This window comes from Homo sapiens, chromosome X, assembly GCF_000001405.40.
Source record: "Homo sapiens chromosome X, GRCh38.p14 Primary Assembly".
In the NCBI taxonomy this organism is placed as follows: domain Eukaryota; kingdom Metazoa; phylum Chordata; class Mammalia; order Primates; family Hominidae; genus Homo; species Homo sapiens.
Window position 1 is genome coordinate 153,635,372 of NC_000023.11, and position 21,353 is coordinate 153,656,724.

Here is a 21,353-nt window from a genome sequence, read left to right on the forward strand (position 1 = left end):
GAAAGAAAACCAGGAGGGGGTGGGCATGAGGAGGGAGGCCTTAGGAGGGGACCCAAGCAAGCAGGGGCAGGTGGAGGAAGAGCCTTGCAGGCCTTGGAGTTTGGCAGGAGGCAGATGAGTCCCGTCTGGAAGCCGCCACTTCTCAAGGAAGGCGATGCCAGCTGGCCTGGGCTCTGGGGAGGCGGGTGGGAGAACACACAGCACCCACCGGCAGCAGCTCAGGAGAAACCAGGCCAAAGGGGGCTCTCAACTTGGAAGCTGTGGGGTGGCACAGAACAATTTTGAGATGCTCAGGCCTTTTAGGGAGGTCAGGATGGGCAGGCTCAAGGCTGGTGGCCAGGGGATGAGGGCCAGAGGATGGAGGACACGGGGATGGGAGGAGCCCTGGGGGATAGGTGGGCTTGGCTGAGGAGAGGACGTTCTGGGCACTACACGTCCCCTTTTCCTGAAGACAGCCTCTGGACACTTCTCTCCCTTGCGGCCTACAGAGCCTACCCAGGCAGACCCGATGTGGCTGTCACTGAGATAAGAGCCCTGGGCTTGTGTCTGGGACACGTGAGTTTGAGAAGCCTGGAGGTCACCCAAGGGAACCCACCTGGGGGCAGCTGGGCCCAGGAGCCTGGGGCAGAGACCTGGTGTCACAGGCCAGTGTATGAGCACTGGAGTGAAGTCAGCCAGGCGGTGGGCTAGGAGGTCCCGACACTCATCCCTCCCCCAAAACAACAATCAATAAGCGACATGCTCAGAGAAACAGGATGGCAGTCTGCTGAGGATCACCAGCTCCTGGTCCTACAGGTCTTCGGGCAACATGAGAAGTGACAAGCGACAGGTAGCACCGACCCAAACTATGAGGACACAAAAGACCCTTCAGAGGCCGAGCAAGGGCCTTCACTGTGGCTCCCTTGGGGCCCTTGAGGTTCTGGCTGAGCTGGGCCGAGAAGAGGGAAGTGAGCATGCACCAGAGACGCCGCCTGCCAGGAGACCCGGCCCAAGAGCTTCCAGGCAGATCTCCCTGCCTTGCCTGTGCTGAGCTCCAAAGAACCACCCACCATCCACCATAGGGCAATTCTGACCACAGCCAGCCAGGGGGCAGTGCTGGGAGCAGGCCAATCCTCAGATGCCAAGGAGCCAGCCTCAGCACCAGCCATCTGTGACACCTCCCTCTGGCTGGGCTCACCACTGCAGCGGGTAGCACAAGAAAGGCAGCAGCCCTGCGGCTTCTGCTTGGACCCTCTAGAGACGGGACGCACACCCCTCCAGGAAGCCAGTCTCAAGCTGGCTGCCCTGCCGACTGGGAAGTCCACCTAGGCTCATGGTCCTGGGGATCCCATCCTCAGCCTCCCCTGCTTTCCCCTTTAGGGCTGAGAAGAACAGGCAGCCATGGTCCTCATGGCTCTGGCCAGCTCTCCAACCACGCATCCTGAGAGCTGAGCCTTACAGGCTGACAGACTGGACCCTGGGTCACCCTCATGGTCCCAGCCCATGTCAGCCACAGCCGTCCTTCTTGGAGCTCAAAAGGCAGTGAAGAACGAGTCTCAGGCCCTGCTCCAGGTGGTGACAGCAGTGGCCAGGACTGATGACTAACTCCCAGAGCCGCCTGTGTGCACCCTCCTTTTCTCTGTATAACACTGACATGGCAGTGGGCATGCAGTGTGCAGTGGTGGAAGGGAGATGGCTGTGGAGATGGTTACCCTGTCGTTGCAGGCAGGGCAGTAAGAAGCCCTGGAAGGGGCTCAGTGACCTGCCACAGCCTCCCACCGGGAAAGGCCAGGCTGCATGCCTGACCCCACACAAGGAGCCTTGGCTGTCCCCTTCCCATCCATGGCATCTCTCAGGCAGAGGCCCACTGGCCCTCTCCGCGTGGATGCGGTTGATCCCTGGGACGTGGCTGCCACCTTTCTCACCTTCCCCCTCCTCTCCACCTTCTCTCTGCCCAGGAGCCGGCCCCGAGGTGTGGGCAGGTCACGTGGCACCGCATCTGCACTGCTCTCCTCTCTGGGGCCCTCGGGACCCAAATCAGCCACCGATGTGGGAAGCAGGTACTGAGGGGTAATAGCCGCTCTCTAAATTTAGACGGGAGAACTCCCCAGAGAGCTGGCAGAAATATCCCGAGCCTTCCTGTGGCGAGGCTCTCAGGCAGGAGAATGAAGAGGGGGCAGCGAGAACCCGGGGATGGGGGGCAGCAGGGCTAAGAGAAGGTGACAGAGGAGAAGGCCCACACCTGGGCTGGGGTGCACATGCTCTGGACCACAGCCTTGAACTCCACCCTGGTGGGGGCGGCCCACATTCAAGGACAGGCCAGCTCTTCTCTGCAATTCCGGTCGCACCCATGGCTCTCCAGCACCCTTCTGCAACCAGGAGGGAGCTGCCTCCTTCCTTGCTCTGGCCGGGTGGGTGGCTTGCCAGGTGACTGAGGCCTGAGCCAGCAGCTCCCCTCCTGCCTGTCCCCCAGCCTATAAGAAAGAGCCACTCAAGGGCAGAGGCAGTTCCCTGCGGAGGGGCGCCCTGGCCATGGGGCCCTGGCTGCTAGTCTGTGGAACTGAGCACATAGCCCGGTCACCGCCCCCACATTCCATACTTCAGCATCCTCATCCAGAAGCAAACAAGAAGTGCAGCAAACAGCATGGCTTGTCCTCACGGTCACGGCACCAGTGGTGGGAGGGAGGAGACCCTCATCTGTCCCTGGAGCTGCTGTCACCATTACCCAAGGGGCCTGCACACAAGGTGGAAGCTTCAGGACAGCTGTGCTTCCAAGGGTGGCCCACGCGGCGCCCCTGTCCTGGAGGCCACAAGTCTCCATCAGCTGGGACTCCTTGCCTGGAAGGTGACTCGTGGCACCCACAGCTGTGATTCTGTCTCCAGCTGTGCCCCTGATCGCTGCAGGGCCTTGGGCAAGTGGCAGCGGTGGGCAGGAGAGGTGCTGGGTGCTCCCAGATGCCAGAGCAGCAAGGGGCTCAGCAGCCTGAGGGTGGGGATGGGTCTGGGTGCAGGAAGCCAATGGGGCCCACCAGGCTGGGCCTTTCGGTGCTGGGAGGAGATGGGGAGTGGTGGAGGGAGGCAGCCAGACAAGCCAACAGGTGCTGTGACCGAGCGCGCAGGGGCAGAGGCCCCCGAGGAGTGAGATGAGAAAAACCCACAGCCTCCAGGAGCCGCTCTCCACCCCCACAGACATCTGAGCCAGGGCAAGCGCTCGCCACAAGCCCCTGCCTGGGCCTGGCCATGGCTGCCTGTCTCGTGTCTTATCTTGTTACCTGTGGTGAGACACCCTGACTGGAGAAGCATGTTCCTGGAAGGGGGACGGGGTGGGGGATGCTGAAATGCGGCCAGAAAGGCAGGTGGGCCTTTCCTCCTGGGCCAGGCGGGGCAAAGGTTGGGGGGATCTGCAGCAGGGGAGCCAGGTGGACTGGGAACATCCTTGGCACCCCCAATCTCCCCAGACCCATCGTTTCACCCTTGGTGGCTCCCCTCTCTCCTGGTTCCCTTAGCCCTGGACGTCCCTGGGCCACGCGGGAAAGTCACCTGCTGCCCTCTCTCCTCCTCTTCCCCTGCATGGGGTCTGGACAGAGGCTCCTTGTCTCCCCTCACTTCCCTTCCCCTGTCTAGCCCAGGGCTGTGGGTGGCTGGCTGTCCCGGTAAAAGGATTATATCATCTGTAATGTATATCCAGACGCACATGCACTGCTGCTCGGGAGGACAAGACAAGGAGAGGGAGCCAGTGCAGCTGGCCAGAGGGGAATTGTATTGAACCTGAACCTGAGCCCTCCCCAAATGGGGGTGCTAATGGCTCACCAGGTCCCGGCCCGCAGAAATCAATCGCTGCACAGGCTGGCGCTCTGTGCTCTACCCCCCTCCCTTCCCTCTCACCTACCTCCTGTCCCTCCCTGGTGCTCACACCCCTGGGCACTCAGCTGCCCGGCTGGCCTGCCTTTGACCTCGTCTGCAAGTGACATTTCAGAGCCATTTTGTTTCAAATGTCTGGGCAGGGCTCCTTTGGGAGCGGCTGCAGACAGGTAGGGTGCTTCTGAAGACATGGTAACTGGTAGCGGGGTACATCTAGAAGATGCCGGCTGAAGCGCTTCAGATATGGGAGGGTGCAGAGGGAGGAGTTGGAGGGTTGGCGCAGGGGGGTGGGGGGATTGTCATGTGAACAGAAGGCTTCAGCTGCAGAAGCCATCTCTGTGGGACCCAATGGTTACCCAGAAATGAAGTCTCGGATGTGTGTGCACCCTGGCTCCGGAGCCCGCAGATGTGATCCAGGTTCCATGCAGGGACACAGGCAGGGAGGACCCAGCACTCGGAGGCAGCAGCAGCAGGCGCCGTGGTGTGCTGAGACAAGCCAACAGCAGGGCAGCGTGGGGACCATGGGCGGGGCCCTGAGGAGGGCGCTTGGCTTATGGCAGGAACGTGCCTGCCCCTGTGCCAGCTGTGAGGCTTTGACGGCCATCACCTTTCCCACGGTCTCTCCCCAAAACCTCATTTGCCTGGAGAGTGGCCCGGAATCGGGCCCTGAACAAACTGTCCCTTAACAGATATGGATGCCTTCAGCCAAAGCCCTCCATGTCAGAGGGTGTGAGTTGGGCCGGCCGCCAGAGGCACTGCTAGGCTAAAGACCTCTCTACCCCCAGCAAAGTGCAGCTCCCGTGCCCCTCCACCTTGCCCGGGGCTGGCGGTTCCTGTGTCTGATTTCAAGGTCTCTGGGGAGCACCTTTGGGATTCGGGAGGGCGTGGGGTCTGACAGGAAACAAGATGGCCACTTCCCAATGGCCATCCCCAAGGAAGGGACAGGAAGGACGGCAGTGGCCTTGGGGTTCCGGGTGGAATGGAGGGCGAGGGCTGGGGCGGCCCCGTCGCCTCACCCTGAGACTCCCGTCAGCAGCAGATGGACCCAGCTGCTTCGGAGTCAGAGACCCAGCTGTGCCCTCGGTTCTGCCAAGCAAACTTGCACTCACTCAAGTCCCCCTTGGGAGTGTTCTGCATTTTCTTCCCCAGCCCTGGGGATGAAGAGGGAACCGCTATTTCCTGAGGCCGAGCAGGCCTGTGCCTCACGAGCTCCCCGGGCATCTCCGGGCAGGCCTGGCCTTTGCATGCTCCTCTTCCGGCAACGGATGGGTCTTGTTGCCTGGAGAGCAGAGACACCAGGAGGGCTGGGAGTGGGAGCTGTGCAGGGGCGAGGGTGGCATTCTTCAATCCAAATGTTTCTCCGCCAGCCTCTCAGCCCTGAGTCACTAAAGCACAGGATGGTGGCGGAGGGGAGGATGTTAACAAACCTTGCTAGAAGCTCCTCCGAGTCAGCTCACCCACCAAGCCTTTGCCGGGGGTCAGCTGGGCACCCAGGCCATGGGCACAGCTGTCGTACGTCCTTCCCAAACAGGAGGTGCCCTCAGTGGAGGGGGAGTGTGAAAGGCAGTCCCCTGTTTGTAGGGCACAGCTTCTATGGAATATTGATTTCTTAGGAAAGGTTCCGTAACTTCAGCACGTCTAGCAGTACGGGCACCAGTGGCAGCTGCATGTGCTCGCCTGCGTGGCATAGCCTTGGGTAGGTGCAAGCTCAAGTCCTGGGCAGCCTGACTCCCCAAGGCTGTAGGGGAGAGCCCCAGTGCAGTCCCATGAGGCCCAGCGTCCAGAGCAGGAAGACAGTTGCAGGGCCAGAGGCCTGCTCCCAGGAGGGGCTGTGCTGCCGCCAAGGCTGAAAAGGTGCAGAGGAGCAGTCGGGGCCCAGAGCAGGGTGGGCAGGCCTGGCTGGCGACAGCAGGACCCTCCCAGCTCACGCACCATGGCTTGAAACTGCAGCACAGCTAGGAGGGTCCTTGGAGATCACATGGTCCCACCTCTCTCCCCAAACGTACATACCAGGAAATGGAGACCCAGATGGGACAGGGACCTGGGCTCCAGAGGCAAAGCTGCTGCCCTCGCCTCTTCCAGGGGTAATGACTCAGGGGAATTCAGCGCTGCGGCAGACACAGCCAAGCGGCCAGCGGAGCTGCTGGCATCCCAGCCCTGCCTGGCCGCACCTTATCCTGCGCTCCCTGGGCGGAGAAGACGGCCCTTGATGCTCACAGCCTCCTGCCGGGTCTCAGGCAATCCCCCACTGCAGGCACGAGGCCGGGCTCATACACTGCTGGTCTGGGAGCCCCAGAAAGGCCAGGTGCACATCTCCACGGGCTGTCCTCTGCCTCCCCTCCCCACGCAATCTTCCGCACTCACACTCGCTCAGGCTCTAGGCTTCTGAACTCAGCCAGCCCAAGCCACATCCTACTCTGCCACTACACTATTGTGCCACCACCAGGGAGCCACGGACTCAGTTTCCCTGGCTGTAGCATGGGGACAATCCCCTCAGACTTCCGGAACTGCTGTAAGGATAAAATGAGGTCCTTGATGGCAATGCGTGTGACCTTTGGCACAAAGGAGAAAGCTAACGGGACCTAGTGACAACAGCCGCTCCCTACTCGCTTCCAGCCCCTCCCCCACCCAAACGTCCTGGCTCCACCCCTTCCAGGCACTGAGGCTCAAATGCTATTACTATTAGCCAGAATCTGACACATGAGAATGAGAGGAGACACTGCAGGGGGACCTGGGGTGGGGGATGGAATTGGCAGCGCTGTCAGCCAGACTTTATACCCTCTTCACTGTGGGAGCAGGAGGTGGCTCTGGGGCACCAAGTTGCGCCCAGTCCTCAATGGGCCCCTTCGCTGGGGTGCCAGTGCAGATTCTGCGCGTAACCGTCCACCTAGCCCAGGCCCAGCCTAGTTCAGGGCCCCCAACCCCACTCCCGCGCCCCAAGCGCCGGAGCCCCCACTCATTGGCGCCACTGGGGACCGGGGAGCGCAGGGCGCGTCGGGCAGGACTGGCCTAGAGAACAGAGGCTTGCAGGTGGGAGGAAGGCGGCGGGGGGTGGGGGGGGCGTGGGAGGTGGAGGGAGACGCCGGGCAGGCCGCGGCCCCTCCCCGCTCCCTCCCCGCGAGCCGCCAGCTACAGTGCCCCTCCTGGGCAGGGGGCGGAGAAGACGGCGACTGGAGGGGAGGAGGCGGCGGCAGAGGCGGAGGAGGCAGCGGCGGCGGAGGCGGGATTTGGAGTTTCCCTCCGCAGCGGCGGCGGCGGCTGCCCCTCGGCTCCAGGAGAGGCCGCCACCCGGGGTTCCGGTGGCGTTAGGCTGCAGCAGTGGCGCTTCCCGCCGCCCGAGCTTCGGAAACTTCCCGGCCGCGACGCAGGGAACCGGCGCGGAGAACCGAGCAGAGCGGAGGTGAGTGGAGCAAGCGGCGCCCCGGGGACCCCCACCCCCCACCCGGCCTGGCTGCCCCCGCCCCGACGTGCGCTCCTCCACCCTGCACCCCCAAAGTCCTGACAACGCACACCCCACGAAGCCGGCGCACGCGCCCCTACGACACCCATTCGGTGCTGCTCCGCACACCCCCGCACGCCGCCCGTGCACCTCCCGTGTCTCCTGCCACTTGCACCGGCTGCACACTCGCGCGCATACAAACCACGCACCACAGACCCGGGTGCCTGTAGTGCACACACTAGCTGCCCCTGCCCCACCACTCACCACTGTCCCCAACTCATGCCAACCCACCGAGACCCTGCCACGCCCCAGTACACACCCAGGCGCACACGCACGCTTCCAACACGTCTCTGCCATACCTGCACCAACATAGCTCCCCCTACCATGCCCCCACCACCTCGAACTCCCCATCTGCCCATTACAGACACCCCACCCACGTTGCCAGCCCAGAGACACTGCAGTCCACCCATCCTGGAGCGAGGTCCCGTCAGAAACCCACATCCCAGTGGCTGACGCTCCCCACGTCCCAGGCACACACCTCCAGCATCTCCAACGCGCACTCTCATCCACCCCAGCACGCGCGCACACCTGCTGGATTCACGCTCTCCAGCATCCTGCCCCGCCCCCATCACAAATAGCCTTCGACACCCCCCAGCACATCTCTGAGTCCCTCCCTCCCTCACCCCCAACACCTGGCACGCGGGCTCTAGAGGCTGCAGCATTTGGTGGCATCCCTGCCAGGCACCTCTGGCTCCCCTTCGGCAGAGGCTCAGCAGCCTTGGGCCCCCCAGGTGCCTCCCTAAACAGACCTTGAGACTCCCCAGCGACTAGCTTGGCCTCTTCCCTAAGAAATAAAGAAGGCACTTTGGGGTCCAAGGTAGGGTACTTAGATGTGGAAGCAAGGGGCCCCGGGGAGGGGCGGGGAGGCGGCGGAGAGAGCCCGGCGCTGAAATGGAGGCGGCCCAGGTGGGACCAAAGGGGCGCCAGCTGCCCGGCAAGCACGTAGTAGGTGGGTTCCATGGGGGCTGGCGTCCGCGCGCGCTGTCTGGGTGCCTGCCTGCGTGTGTGTTACGGGGAGGGCTGTGTGTGCACGTGTGCTTGTGCGTGTCGGGGTGGGGGAGGAGTGTGTGATCGGCAGAAGGAAAAGCAGGAGCAGCTCCCTCAGGCAACAATTGGTTTCATTCATTCATGCCTTCTTTGTTAACGAGCATTTCTTCCGCGAGCGCCGGGCGCGTGCCAGGCCCTGCACTGGGGGCTGGGGCCAGCCTGGGGCCGGGCACACACCCGTTCCTGCCTTGGAGGAACTCCCAGTCCCGCGAGGAGACCGACCAGGAAAAGCAGAAAGCCATCCCCAGCAGAAAGTGGATTTGGTGGAAAAGACACTGGATTTGGCAGGCACGCTGTCGCCGGGACTTGTGCTCTTGGCCATGTGACCCGGCCGCGACAGCCGAAATCCTGTCACTCGGCCCGGCGGGAACGGTGCATCTCGTGGGGGAAGGCGGCGCGGCGCCGCTCTCGGGAGGCTCCCGGGACCAGAGGGCGCACGCGGCGCGCGCGAGGCCTGCAGGCGGCGGCGTCCCCGCGGCCTCCAGGGGGCGCTGGCCCGGCCCGGCGGAGGCCCGGGGCGCCCGGCGGGGGCGGGTGCGGGGGCGGGGGCGGGGGCGGCAGGCGCAGCGCCCACCCTGCGGCGGGCAGCGAGCGCGCGGCCTGGCTCAGCCCGCCGGAGGGGGCCAGACGAGGCCCGGGCGCGCGGCGCGGCCTCCCCCAGCACAGCGCACCCGGGAGCGGCTGCCGGCGGGGCGGCGCCCAGAGCCGGCGCTACAGGGGGCCTGAGTGGGGGCGGCCCGGCGAGGGTCGCGGGTGAGAGGGGGATTAGGGGGTTGGCTGCGCTCAGCCCTGCAGTGCGGAGGTGGCAACAGGTTCCCATTTGTCCTGTTGCTGGCGCTGCGGGCGCTGTGGGCCCCGAGCACTGAGCTCTGACTTTGGAAATTGAGCCCCTCATGGCCTCCTCCCAAATGCTTTCTCCCGGTGCGAGGACTTGGCAGCAGGGCTCCGCAGTTAGGTGCAGGGGAGCCCCTCGCCAAGCGTCGGGAGACGTGGACCCTTGGATCCTAGGCTTCCCCTCCCTTCCCCATTGCGGAGGTTGCCTCTCCCCGTCCTCATTCCAGCCCAGCTCCTCTCACCTCCAGGGAACCCTCTCCAGAGAGCGCCACTGAGCAGCTCAGGAGCTCCCTCTCTAGCCGAACTGAGCCCCCACGGCAGGGCGGGCCGGGGAAGTGGCTGTCCAGCTCCCTGCTGGTCACAGCCCTGCGCCACCCCCACTCTCCACAACAAGACTGGCACATGGCAGAACCTCCGTGGTGCCTTCAACCCCTGCCCACTCTGAGCTCCCACCCACAGCTGCAGTGGGCCTGGAGGCAGCCCCCAGGCTGGGTGCCGGTGTCCACCTCCACCACTGTGGAGCTAGGCTGTGGACAGAAAACAGAAGACAAAGTCCCTGCCCCAGGAACACACTGAGAAAGGGGGAAAGTGACCACACTAGGGAGCACAGAGGAGGGAGACTACTGGCTCCGAGTTGGGAAGGCTGCCTGGAGGAGGGGGCCTGAAGAATGAGCAGAATCTCAGAATCTGGGCAGGGGGCATAGGAGGGAGGCCTGGGCTGGGGCCCTTGCCCACTGGGTGAGAGAAGGAAGGGCACAGTCCAGCTGCCCAAAGCCCTTGGATGCAGGAATTAGGACTCTTGTTAGACGCAGGGACATGGGGGGTGTGGCCGGAAAGCAGCCCAGTGCCAGGGTCCTGGGAGTCCCCGGCTAGCAGCCCACTGCCCGAAAGGGAGGGAGAGAGGCAAACTGGAAGCCCCTTAGAGGTGACCCACCTAGCTTTCCGTCACCTGCCCTCTTACCTAACCATGACCTGAGACATTTTCTCCTCTAACTCCATGGCTCCTGAGAGGAGTCTTTAGACTCGTAGTTTGCTTTGCATTTTCCACTTGTTAGAAAAATGCTTTGTGGTGCCCATCCTCGTGTGCATAACTTTGCTTTCTTTTACTTTAGTTCCTTAGATTCCCAAAAGTGGTCAAAGGGTTGGGATTTTTTCCTAGCTCTTGATATTGCCAGATTAATTTCCAAAGGGGCCGTACCAATATATAACCCTGCAACAGTTGAACAGCACGCTGATTTCACAGCAATCTTGCCAGCACTGCGTGTTCTCAAAAATGAGAACATTTCTAATGCAGTAGGTGGGAAGTGTTACCTCGTTGGTCATTGTTACTTGTTTATTGGAGTGGCTTTCCTTCCACGCCTGAAGTTGAACCTTCCCCCAAATATTTGTTAGGCCACCGCATTCCCTCCTTCCTGCAGTATGCAGTGTTTTCAGGTTCTTTGCCCATTTATCTACAGGGGTCTTAACCTTTTAGTTGGGTATGAGCTTTATCTTATCTGGCGTACATTTTCCTTCAACACTGTTATTTGCTTTTGTTGAGCTTTAAGCAGAGAAGGGACTTTTAGCCAGATCAGCATTGTGGACACCTCCCCCTGACCCTGGTCTCCTGCCTCAGTGCTCACCACACCTGAGACCTTGTCCAGTGCTCTTGCTGCCTGTGGATCTGTCCCGCCTGTTGTGCCCATGGAGGAAAGGATGGAGGCCACCAGCCTTGGTTGAGTGGATGGCATTCTGACGTTGGGCAGGGCTGGGCAGGGCAGGGTGGAGGGCAGGTCGTTGCAGGCCCGGAGGCAGGGAGACTGTTGTGCAAGACGTGACAGTGACCTGGCCTAAAGCTGATGAATTTGAGCCCTCGGCTAGGGCAAGGGACAGGGGAGAGAGGCGTGGATGTGAGAGATATTTAGGTAGAAACTAGTTCTTTCCACTTTGATTAGCCGAAGGGGGGTTAAGGGAAGGAGGCAGAGGGGGGAGCCACGGGTGACTCTTAGGATCAGTAATGTGATAAGAGCAGAGTGCCCCAGTTTAGGGCTGGGAGCTCAGGGTTCCTGGGTGCTTTTGGCCAGTCCTGTGCGAGTGAAGCGGGCTGGTATTGGTAGGTATCCAGGAGCTACCCCTGCCTGCCTAGCCCTGCAGCAGACCTCTGGGCCAAAGCTGCACTAAGTTTCTGGTCCTGCCTCCTCCTCCCCTCCGTGATTTCGGTGGCATCCCAAGTTTGCCCAAGCTGCTAGCTCTGAGCCCATTACAGAGATGGGGCCACTGAGATCCAGGCAGGGGAGAAGATGCTCCAGTATCACCCTGTGAGTTGGGCTGGAGGCAGCTTCTGCGGCAGAGGGGCTGGGCTCTGGTCCTCACCCCTCCCCCTGCCTCCCGAGGCCAGGCTGGCGCCGGCCAGGGGAGCCGCAGCTGGTCCCCTGCTGGGCCCCTGACCTGCCCTTGGCCTCTGCCCCGACCCCGTCCCGCCTCGGTGGAAGCCCCAGCTCAGCCGACTCGCAGGTCCCACCCGACTGCTTCGGCTAGCACCCGTTGGCTCACCGGCCCGCCGGGCCCGCCCCCGGAGCCCCGCCCCGGCCCGCCCCTCGGAGTTGTAACTCCACGTCCGAAGGCAGTTTCCAAGGTGGAAGCTGGGTCCGGCTGCCAGGAAGCGGCCGGTGCGCGGGCTGCGCGGGCTGCGCGGGGCTCGGCTTCCACGTGCGAGCCTGCACCGCCGCCCCGCCCTCTCCTGGCGGCCAGGCCTGGGGACTCTCTGCCGCGGGACGGCGCCTCGCGTTCCGCCGTGGCAGTGGCCGTGGCCAGAACGTCCACGCGCGGTCGTCCACCGCCGGATCTCGCTCCAGGTCTCTTTCCTTTTGTTCTCTCCTAGGGGTAGGGGGAGATGGGGGACCGGGGGCCAGACCACCTCTGAGAGGACTCGCTGAGGCCCAGCACCTCGGCGCCTCCTCTGTTCCCCTGGCCCACCTGGCCCTGGGGGAGATCTAGGCCTCGAACGGCACTCCTCGCACGCACACCCCCAGCCAGAGTCGGAAGCTCGAACTTGGGGAGCGTTCGCGAGAAGACCGAGACAGGAGCAGAAAGGGGGTATGGAGGGAGGCGGCTGCGACCTCAGGGTACCCCAAGATGAGCCTCGAAGGGGCGGTTAGCCGCTCAGCCCTCTTCTCGAGGACCCTTCCCCGGGCCGAGCTGCTGCCTGGGGGGTTTCTTGGGGCGCCTTGTTGGGAGTCCTCATGGTGGGGGACCCTGGGCTCCCGCCTTCAGGACGCGGGGCCGGCTTCAAGTCTGAGCCCCCTCGGCCCTCCGGTAGCTCACACCGCGCCTTCTCTCTCTTCGCAGCGCCCGTGGTCCAGCGTGTAGGGAGCCGATCGCCCATGGAGGGTCTGGGCCGCTCGTGCCTGTGGCTGCGTCGGGAGCTGTCGCCCCCGCGGCCGCGGCTCCTGCTCCTGGACTGCCGCAGCCGCGAGCTGTACGAGTCGGCGCGCATCGGTGGGGCGCTGAGCGTGGCCCTGCCGGCGCTCCTGCTGCGCCGCCTGCGGAGGGGCAGCCTGTCGGTGCGCGCGCTCCTGCCTGGGCCGCCGCTGCAGCCGCCCCCGCCTGCCCCCGTGCTCCTGTACGACCAGGGCGGGGGCCGGCGCCGGCGCGGGGAGGCCGAGGCCGAGGCCGAGGAGTGGGAGGCCGAGTCGGTGCTGGGCACCCTGCTGCAGAAGCTGCGAGAGGAAGGCTACCTGGCCTACTACCTCCAGGGTAGGTGCCGCGGGGCCCTCCTTCCAGGGGGTTCGGGATTCATTTGACCTTAGGCCAGCCCCACTTCTTTTTTTCTAAAGCGAGTTGAGGCCCCCCTCCCCTGATGACCTGCCAGGCTGCTTTGAGAGGAGGGAAGCCTGAGTGTGACCGTGGGGAAGTTCTTCACCCTCGGCAGCCCAGTCTCTGAGCCTGGAAAATGGGGAGAATTAGCCTGACCTGAGCTAGTTCTCAGGATGCTCAAGAACGAATTACAAAGTGCGGGCTCCCCAGGGTCTCGGCAAGGGTATCCCCACCTCCCCAACCTGCTCAGGAATGAGCAAGGGAGGCAGGGGTCAGACAGCACTGGTGCAATCACGGCTCACTGAAGCCTCCTGGGCTCAAGCGATCCTCCTGCCTTAGCCTCCCGAACAGCATATAAAGTGTCAGGTGTCCAGCCCGGGGAAATAGTATCTGTAAATAGAGATGCTGGCTTCTTGAGCCATATTCTCCCCCAAGTTCCCCCACATCTTGGGGTCCCACTTCATCCCTGAGAGTCAGGAGATGCCCAGGCAGAGAGCTGACATCTGAGTTCCTCCTTTTCTTTAGCTGATGGCCGCAGTCCTCCCTAAGGCTGGCAGTGCATCTCGGCTCTGTTGAGCCCTCACACCTGCCTCAGCTTGACCCTAGGGGTGTAAGATCCTTTCCGGTGGCTCAGCGTGAGCCCAGCTTCTTGCAGCCCGAGCTGACTGAGGGTGGCTAGGGCCCCACGTGGGTACCAGGACACACCAAGCTGCTGGGTTTTGTGTTCCCTTTGGGAACATTTGCAAACCCTCCAAGTTGTCCAGGGTCATCTCCCCAGCCCCAGACAGAGGCACTTGGCTGCCCAGAAGGCCAGGTCAGCAGGCCCCATGCCCTCTCCCCAACAGGAGGCTTCAGCAGATTCCAGGCCGAGTGCCCTCACCTGTGTGAGACCAGCCTTGCTGGCCGTGCCGGCTCCAGCATGGCGCCGGTGCCCGGTCCAGTGCCCGTGGTGGGGTTGGGCAGCCTGTGCCTGGGCTCCGACTGCTCTGATGCGGAATCCGAGGCTGACCGCGACTCCATGAGCTGTGGCCTGGATTCGGAGGGTGCCACACCCCCACCAGTGGGGCTGCGGGCATCCTTCCCTGTCCAGATCCTGCCCAACCTCTATCTGGGCAGTGCCCGGGATTCCGCCAATTTGGAGAGCCTGGCCAAACTGGGCATCCGCTACATCCTCAATGTCACCCCCAACCTCCCAAACTTCTTCGAGAAGAATGGTGACTTTCACTACAAGCAGATCCCCATCTCCGACCACTGGAGCCAGAACCTGTCGCGGTTCTTTCCGGAGGCCATTGAGTTCATTGGTGAGTCCACCCCACCCACCCTTCCCTCCTGTCCTCCCCAAGGCCTGCTCTGGCCTCCCCCTTGTGAGTACTCCTCCCAAGCCCCGCTGCCATTCCCAGAGCCAAAAGCCTAGGTGACAGTTCTAGGGGACAGGCAGAGCTAGGGCGGCCCCCAGAGGCCACTAGAGAAACCTGCAGGTCGTGGCCATCTGGCCCAGGGGGCAGGGCGGGGCCTTTGAGGGCCCTTCGGAAGGCCTCGGCCTCACACACGCCTGCCCTCCGGGTCTCCCGGGCCCTTTCCTGCCCCATCTAGATGAGGCCTTGTCCCAGAACTGCGGGGTGCTCGTCCACTGCTTGGCGGGGGTCAGCCGTTCTGTCACCGTCACTGTGGCCTACCTCATGCAGAAGCTCCACCTCTCTCTCAACGATGCCTATGACCTGGTCAAGAGGAAGAAGTCTAACATCTCCCCCAACTTCAACTTCATGGGGCAGTTGCTGGACTTTGAGCGCAGCTTGCGGCTGGAGGAGCGCCACTCGCAGGAGCAGGGCAGTGGGGGGCAGGCATCTGCGGCCTCCAACCCGCCCTCCTTCTTCACCACCCCCACCAGTGATGGCGCCTTCGAGCTGGCCCCCACCTAGGGCCCCGTGGCCGGCAGGCCGGCCCCTGCCCCACCCCCACCCACGGGTGTCCCTGCCCACTCGTGTGGCAAGGGAGGGGAGGGCAGGAGGGCTCGGCCTGAGCAGGGTGCTGGGGGGAGAGCGCAATACCTCACGCGGGCTGCCGTCCTAATCAACGTGCCTATGGCGGGACCACGCTCGGAGCCTGCCTCTTCTGCGACTGTTACTTTTTCTTTGCGGGATGGGGGTGGGGGTTCCCTCTCCAGGTGGTTGTCCAGGCCCAGGTCCCGGCCCTGGGTGCTCAGCCAGCTCGGCTAGGCCCTGCGCCTCCCTGCGCTTCCCCCTTCAGGAAGGGTGTGTGCCACCTCGTTGCACTGGATCCCAGTGGCTGCTTGGGGGAGAGGCGTTTGCCATCACTGGTGTTGTCACCTCCCTGTTTCTCCACCAAGGGCTTGGGCCTCTCGGGGCTGGGGCCTCCCAGGGGATGGGGACCCAGAGTGCAGTGGCCGCCCACATCCATGGCCTAGGAGCTACTGGGCAGGTTCCCGGCCACACATCTGGTGGGCTGTTTTGTTTTTTTTTTTTCCTCTTCCCCCAGATGTCTTGACGGGATCACTGGGGCTCTTTGTGAGTGAGGGTGGCCAAACTACCGCCGGAGGAGATGGGGTCTCAGAGCGAGAGCTGCGGAGGGGGAGGGGAAGAAGAAGGCCTCACTTTTGCTGCTGCGGGGCCCACACAGCCGCTGCTACTTTGGGGGGTGGGGAAGGGGCCAAGCTGCAGACACACACAGTCATTCATTTCTGTCCACACCCCTGTGGGTGGCGGGTGTGCGTGTGTGTGCTTGTGTGTGCGCACGTGTCGGCGCTCACACACACATGCTAGCCCACTGATGCACCCAGCCCAGGGCTGGCAGTCTTTGCAGCGTGGGGCCGTCTCACCCTGGAGCCTGGAGAGGATCTATGCTTGTTTGTTTTTGTAATCCATATCATAGTTGCTTTCTTTAATTGTTCCTTCTGAATAAACAGTTTATTTAAGATACTGAGTAGAGAGAGAAGCTACCTCCTGAGCGCCTTGGAGGGTTTGGGGGAAGGTGGGGAAGGAGGCCCTCTTGGTCTCTCTGGACTGCCCATGGTGGAAAGGGGCATGTGCCAGGCTGGCCAGGGACTCAAGTGCCACCCCACTCCCTGCCCCATGTTATCATTTCCCATCTTGTGCTTACACTGCCCGCTGGCCCACGCTCTGAGTCGCCCATTCATTCACCTCCATTTGAACCCCTAGTCTGTGCCACACACTGTCCTGGGGACTAGGTTGCAGCAGTGAGCTCCGCCTGCTCACAGCAGACTTTCTAGTGGGGGAAGAAACGACAAATGCAACAGTCACAGCACTGCGGTTGTGCCGTAGACGTTCATTGCCATGGACAGAGCAGAAAAGTGAGGGGCCAGCACTCACAACTGATCCCTGAGACACCGGCCAAGTCAGCCCCGAGCCCTGCCTGGAGCCTCCTGAGGGCTGCCCCGGCTGGGTGGCATCCTGAGAGTGACAGGGAGGGGTGTGGGCAGACTGGCACATGTGAGTGTTGTGGTTGTCTGGCTGTGGAATTTGGGCTGCAAAGGCCCAGGCTGGGGACTAGAAGAGCCCCATGGAGAACATGGAGACCAACGGGCCACCTAAAGGGACAGAGGTGAACTGCACCTCTCCTCATATTGGGACACTGCAAGTGCCTTCTCCACACCATAACTGGTGGGGTCTATAAGGCTGTGACTCTCCACCATGGACATGTAGTAGAGGGGAAGGGCAGCTGGAGGGTGGCGGGGAGCGAGTGCAGCCAGAGAAAGCTGTGGAGGCTTTGGAGCAATGTGGCCCAGAACCCACAATCTAAAGGCATATGCGTGAATGGCTGAGCTGGTAGGAAAGGAAGAGCAAGGTGATGAACTGAGAAATGAGGTGAATCCTCTGGGCCAGCGGAGTAAGCCACTCTGGGGTTAGCCCAGGAGCCAGGACCCTCCACTGGAACGCAGCCCCACCAACACCTTGATTTCTGTCCAGTGAAATCTATTTTGAATGGCTGATCTACTGAAATGGAAGATGTGAAATCTGTGTTGCTGTAAGCCACTAACTCTGTGGTAATTTATTACAGCAGCCACAGAAATCTACTAGAACAGGTGACCTAGGAAGATATATCCCAAATAAAGAAGAGGGTGTGTGCTGATCTTGACCTTGGATCTGGGGGGAAGTGGAATAAAAGGAAAATGTTCCCCCTCCCCTGAGAGCTTATAGCCACAAGCTGAACTGTTCTTTTAGAGTGGTCTAGGCATAGAGTAGTGGACACTCCAGAATCTCTCTCAGAGGTACTTAGAAACAGTGATTCAGCCGGGCACGGTGGCTTACACCTGTAATCCCAGTACTTTGGGAGGCTCACCTGAGGTCAGGAGTTCAAGACCAGCCCGGCCAACATGGGGAAACCCTGTCTCTACTAAAAATACAAAAAAAAAAAAAAAAAAAAAAAACTGAGCTGGGCATGGTGGCACGTGCCTGTAATCCCAGCTACTTGGGAGGTTGAGGCACAAGAAGCACTTGAACCCAGGAGGCGGAGGTTGCAGTAAGCTGGGATTGCGCCACTGCACTCCAGCCTGCATGACAGAGTGACAGAGTGATGAGAGAGTGAGAGTGAGGCCCTGTCTCAAAACAAACAAACAAAACAAAACAAAACAAAACAAGAAACAGTGATCTGGCTGCTGGAGAAGGCTCCTGGATTTGTCTTGAAGCTGCATTCGACTATCTTACCTACAGGGTTTACTGAGATTGTGACAGCCCAATAAAAATAGCAGTTTAAAACATAAATAAAATACATTTTTAAAGTTTCTTATTTTAGAAACAAGGTCTCAATATAGAACTTAAATAGGCCAGGTGCAGTGCCTCAGCCTCCCAAAGTGCTGAGATTACAGGCATGAGCCACCGCACCTGGCCTATTTAAGTTTTAAATGAAGTGGTTCAGAGGTCATATTGCTCCAGAGTGACCAGCAGAAGCAAGCACAAATCCTCTGTGGAGGGAGGGATGTCCTTTAAACACAGGCCTCAAAGCACCGCTATAGAAAATTCCAAAATACGTAATTTTTTAAAATCCTAAAATGTACAAGGAAACAAGCCACCATGAGTTATAGAAACATTTAGCATGTGAATTCAAGTATCAGTCCTGCAAAGATAGCAGCCTTTGAAATTATATAACAGACTATAAGTATAATTAATATGCTTAAAGAAATAAAAGGAAATATTGAAACTGTAATAAAAAAGCAAGAGAATATAAAATGACTAGATACGCTTGAAAGAAAACCAAAAAGAGCTCCTAGAAATGAAAAATATGACAATTGAAATTGGACATTTAAAGTTTAAACAGCATATTAAACATAGCTGAAGAAAGAAATAGTGAACTGGAAGATGGATTTAAGGAAATTACCCAGAATGCAGCACAGACAGACAATAAGACAGACAGGTCACACATATATTTAGTTGGATTTCTAGAAGAAAAAAAGGAGAATAGGGAATATAAAGTATTTTAATAAACAATGCCTGAGAAATTTCCAAAACTGATGAAAGACACCGTGGAAGAGACTGCTGAGTGTCCCCCAGTATCCATTCTCTGCTTCTCCTTTTTAGAAATAAAATGCCCAAAGGTTAATAGCGTGTATGGCTTCACAGCTAAAAACTTTATTTCCCATCCTCCCTTGCGGCTAATTGTGGCCATGTTTTTGCATATTGTCTCATATTTCCATTAGAGCCCTTAGCATTTTAATCATAGTTATTTTAAACTTCTGGTCTGATCATTCCAACACCCCTGTCATAGCTGAGTCTGCTTCTGGTACTGGCTCTATCTTTTTGAACTATGTTTTTTGGCCTTTAGTATGACTTGTCTTTTTTTTACTTTTTGTTTTTTTTGTCAAAAGCTGGACACATACTGGGTAAAAGGACCTGCTGCGAATAGGCCGTAGTGATACAGCAGAATGTGGAGGGAGGAAAAGCATTCAGTCCTGTGATTAGGTTTCTGTCTTTGGGCGTGCCTATGCCCCTGGACTGTGAATTTCACCAATGCTTCTCAGATTGTGCCCCGCTTAGGTGGGCCAGGATGGCTACAAAAGACTGAGTTGGGTATTTCGCTTCCCTCAGGTCAGTTAGGCTCCGCCAAAACCCTAATAGGTTGGGCCTGGTAAGGGTTACTCTTGAGGGCAGGCCTAGTTAAGAAAGGAACGCCCTGGGCGTATTTCAAAATGACCACTTTCCCCTCCCCCTGCCAGAAGCATGATGAGATTTTTCTCACTGTGAGAACCTGGTTGAGCTCCTAAAGGTAAAACTTACAAAAGTATGGGAGCCCCAAAAGACTGCCCCATCCCAGAGTTTTAACTCTCAGACTTGTCCGCACTGAGCCCCCAGCAATTCAGCAATTGCAGTTCGGGTGTCCCTACGCCAGCACTGGTTCCTGTGCCTGGCCTCCTGCTCTGCTAAGTTGTGATTCTCTGTGCCCACCTGTCTGTCTCCCCAATTTTGGGGGCAGCATTTTGCCCAGTGACTTCAATTCTCTGATAAATCTAAGAGGAGTTGTTGATTTTAAATGTGTTCCACTTTTACTCGTTCTTAGGACAGACCGATGACTTCTGGCCTCCTTACACACTGGACCAGCAACAGAAACTCCCCTGGGTCTGTTTCTATTGACCGATTTTTCTTCTCATGATGGCTCACATTTTTATGCTTCTTCTACCTGAGTCAGAAAGCCGGGATGTAGAGCTCTCTTAGTCTGTCTCCTTTCTCTCAGGGACCACAGTCCTTCACTGACTGCTGTCCCCCATCTGAAAACAATGGATTTTCATATATTTTGCCCAGTTTCTAGCTGTTTATGGTGAGACAGTAATTCTGGACCCTCCTATTCCCTCATGGTCATATTGATATTGAGTGACTTTACATTTTGTTAAGACAAATAAGCATATTAAATTTTTTAGCATAACTAGAATATAAATAGGATATACTACTTCCAAACTAGTAGAGGAAAAAAGCAAATAATGAAGGAAAATATCAACTAATCAAAAAAAGGTCAAGTAAGGGAAATAAAGAAACAGAAACATTGGAATAAGTAGAAAGTATAATATGTTAGAAATAGATCCAAAAGACGGCCAGGCACGGTGGCTCACGCCTGTAATCCCAGCACTTTGGGAGGCCGAGGCGGGCGGATCACGAGGTGAGGCAATCGAGACCATCCTGGCTAACATGGTGAAACCCTGTTTCTACTAAAAATACAAAAATTAGCCGGGCGTGGTGGCGGGCACCTGTAGTCCCAGCTACTTGGGAGGCTGAGGCAGGAGAATGGCATGAACCTGGGAGGCGGAGCTTGCAGTGAGCCAAGATCGAGCCACTGCACTCCAGCCTGGGCAACAGAGTGAGACTCTGTCTCAAAAAAAAAAAGAAAGAAAGAAAGAAAAAAAGAAATAGATCCAAAAAGCATTAAGCAAAATAAATAGATTAAATTCTCCGGTTAGACTGGATTTTAAAAAATCCAGCTATAAGCTGTTTACCAGAGACGCATCTAAAGGGTAGAACCAGAAAAGGTTGAAAGGGCAGGACTGGCTGGGCACAGTGGTGGCTCATACACTCAATCCCAGCACTTGGGGAGGTCAAGGCGAGAAGATCACTTGAGCCCAGGAGTTTGAGACCAGTTTGGGCAACATAGTGAGACCCCGTCTCTACAAAAACAATTTTTTTTAATTTTTTTTTTAAAAAAGAAGGCCCAGGCACGGCGACTCACGCCTGTAATCCCAGCACTTTGGGAGGCCGAGGCGGGCAGATCACCTGAGGTTAGGAGTTCGACACCAGCCTGACCAACATGGTGAAACGTGGTCTCTACTAAAAACACAAAAATTAGCTGGGCATGGTGGTGCGGGCGCCTGTGATACCAGCTACTCAGGAGGCTGAGGCAGGAGAATCGCTTGAACCCAGGAGGCGGAGGTTGCAGTGAGCCGAGATCCAGCCACTGCACTCCAGCCTGGGTGACAGAGCGAGACTCCGTCTCAAAAAGAAAAAAAAAAAAAGAAAAAAAGCCCTGAAACTATCAAAAAATTAGTCAGGCATGGTGGTGCGCACCTACGGTCTCAGCTACGTGGGAGACTGAGGCAGGAGGATCACTTGAACCAGGAGGTTGAGGCTGCAGTGAGCCGTGATTTTGCCACTGCACTCCAGCCTGGGTGACTGAGTGAGACCCTGTCTGGAAAAAAAAAAAAAAAGGGCAGGACCTCCACCTATGGCCAAATGCAGATATCAGCAAATAACCTCCCCAAAAAAGTAACTTTATATAAAGCTGGACAAAATTGACAAAAACAAGCTTTTTGATCTGGAAGTCAACGGAAAATGTCTCATAATCCAAGTGGCTGGATTTTGAGTAAGAACAGCGGGAGTCTGTG

At 58.7% G+C, this 21,353-nt stretch overlaps 1 protein-coding gene across 4 annotated transcripts; it reads left to right on the plus strand.

Annotated features, from left to right (window-relative positions):
- The first annotated feature begins 7,069 nt into the window (after positions 1 to 7,069).
- Positions 7,070 to 15,955, plus strand: DUSP9 (dual specificity phosphatase 9). Of its 4 annotated transcripts, none has more exons than NM_001395.4 (4): positions 7,070 to 7,240; positions 12,548 to 12,955; positions 13,861 to 14,316; positions 14,609 to 15,955. In NM_001395.4, exons 2-4 carry the CDS (start codon positions 12,583 to 12,585, stop codon positions 14,932 to 14,934), a joined length of 1,155 nt encoding a protein of 384 aa, NP_001386.1. In that variant the 5' UTR covers positions 7,070 to 7,240; positions 12,548 to 12,582; the 3' UTR covers positions 14,935 to 15,955. The 4 variants fall into 4 exon arrangements, with proteins under 4 accessions (NP_001386.1, XP_011529425.1, XP_047297855.1 ...); XM_011531123.2 differs by lacking the exon at positions 7,070 to 7,240 and adding an exon at positions 7,363 to 8,288; XM_047441899.1 differs by lacking the exon at positions 7,070 to 7,240 and adding an exon at positions 10,834 to 10,934.
- The last annotated feature ends 5,398 nt before the right edge of the window (positions 15,956 to 21,353 follow it).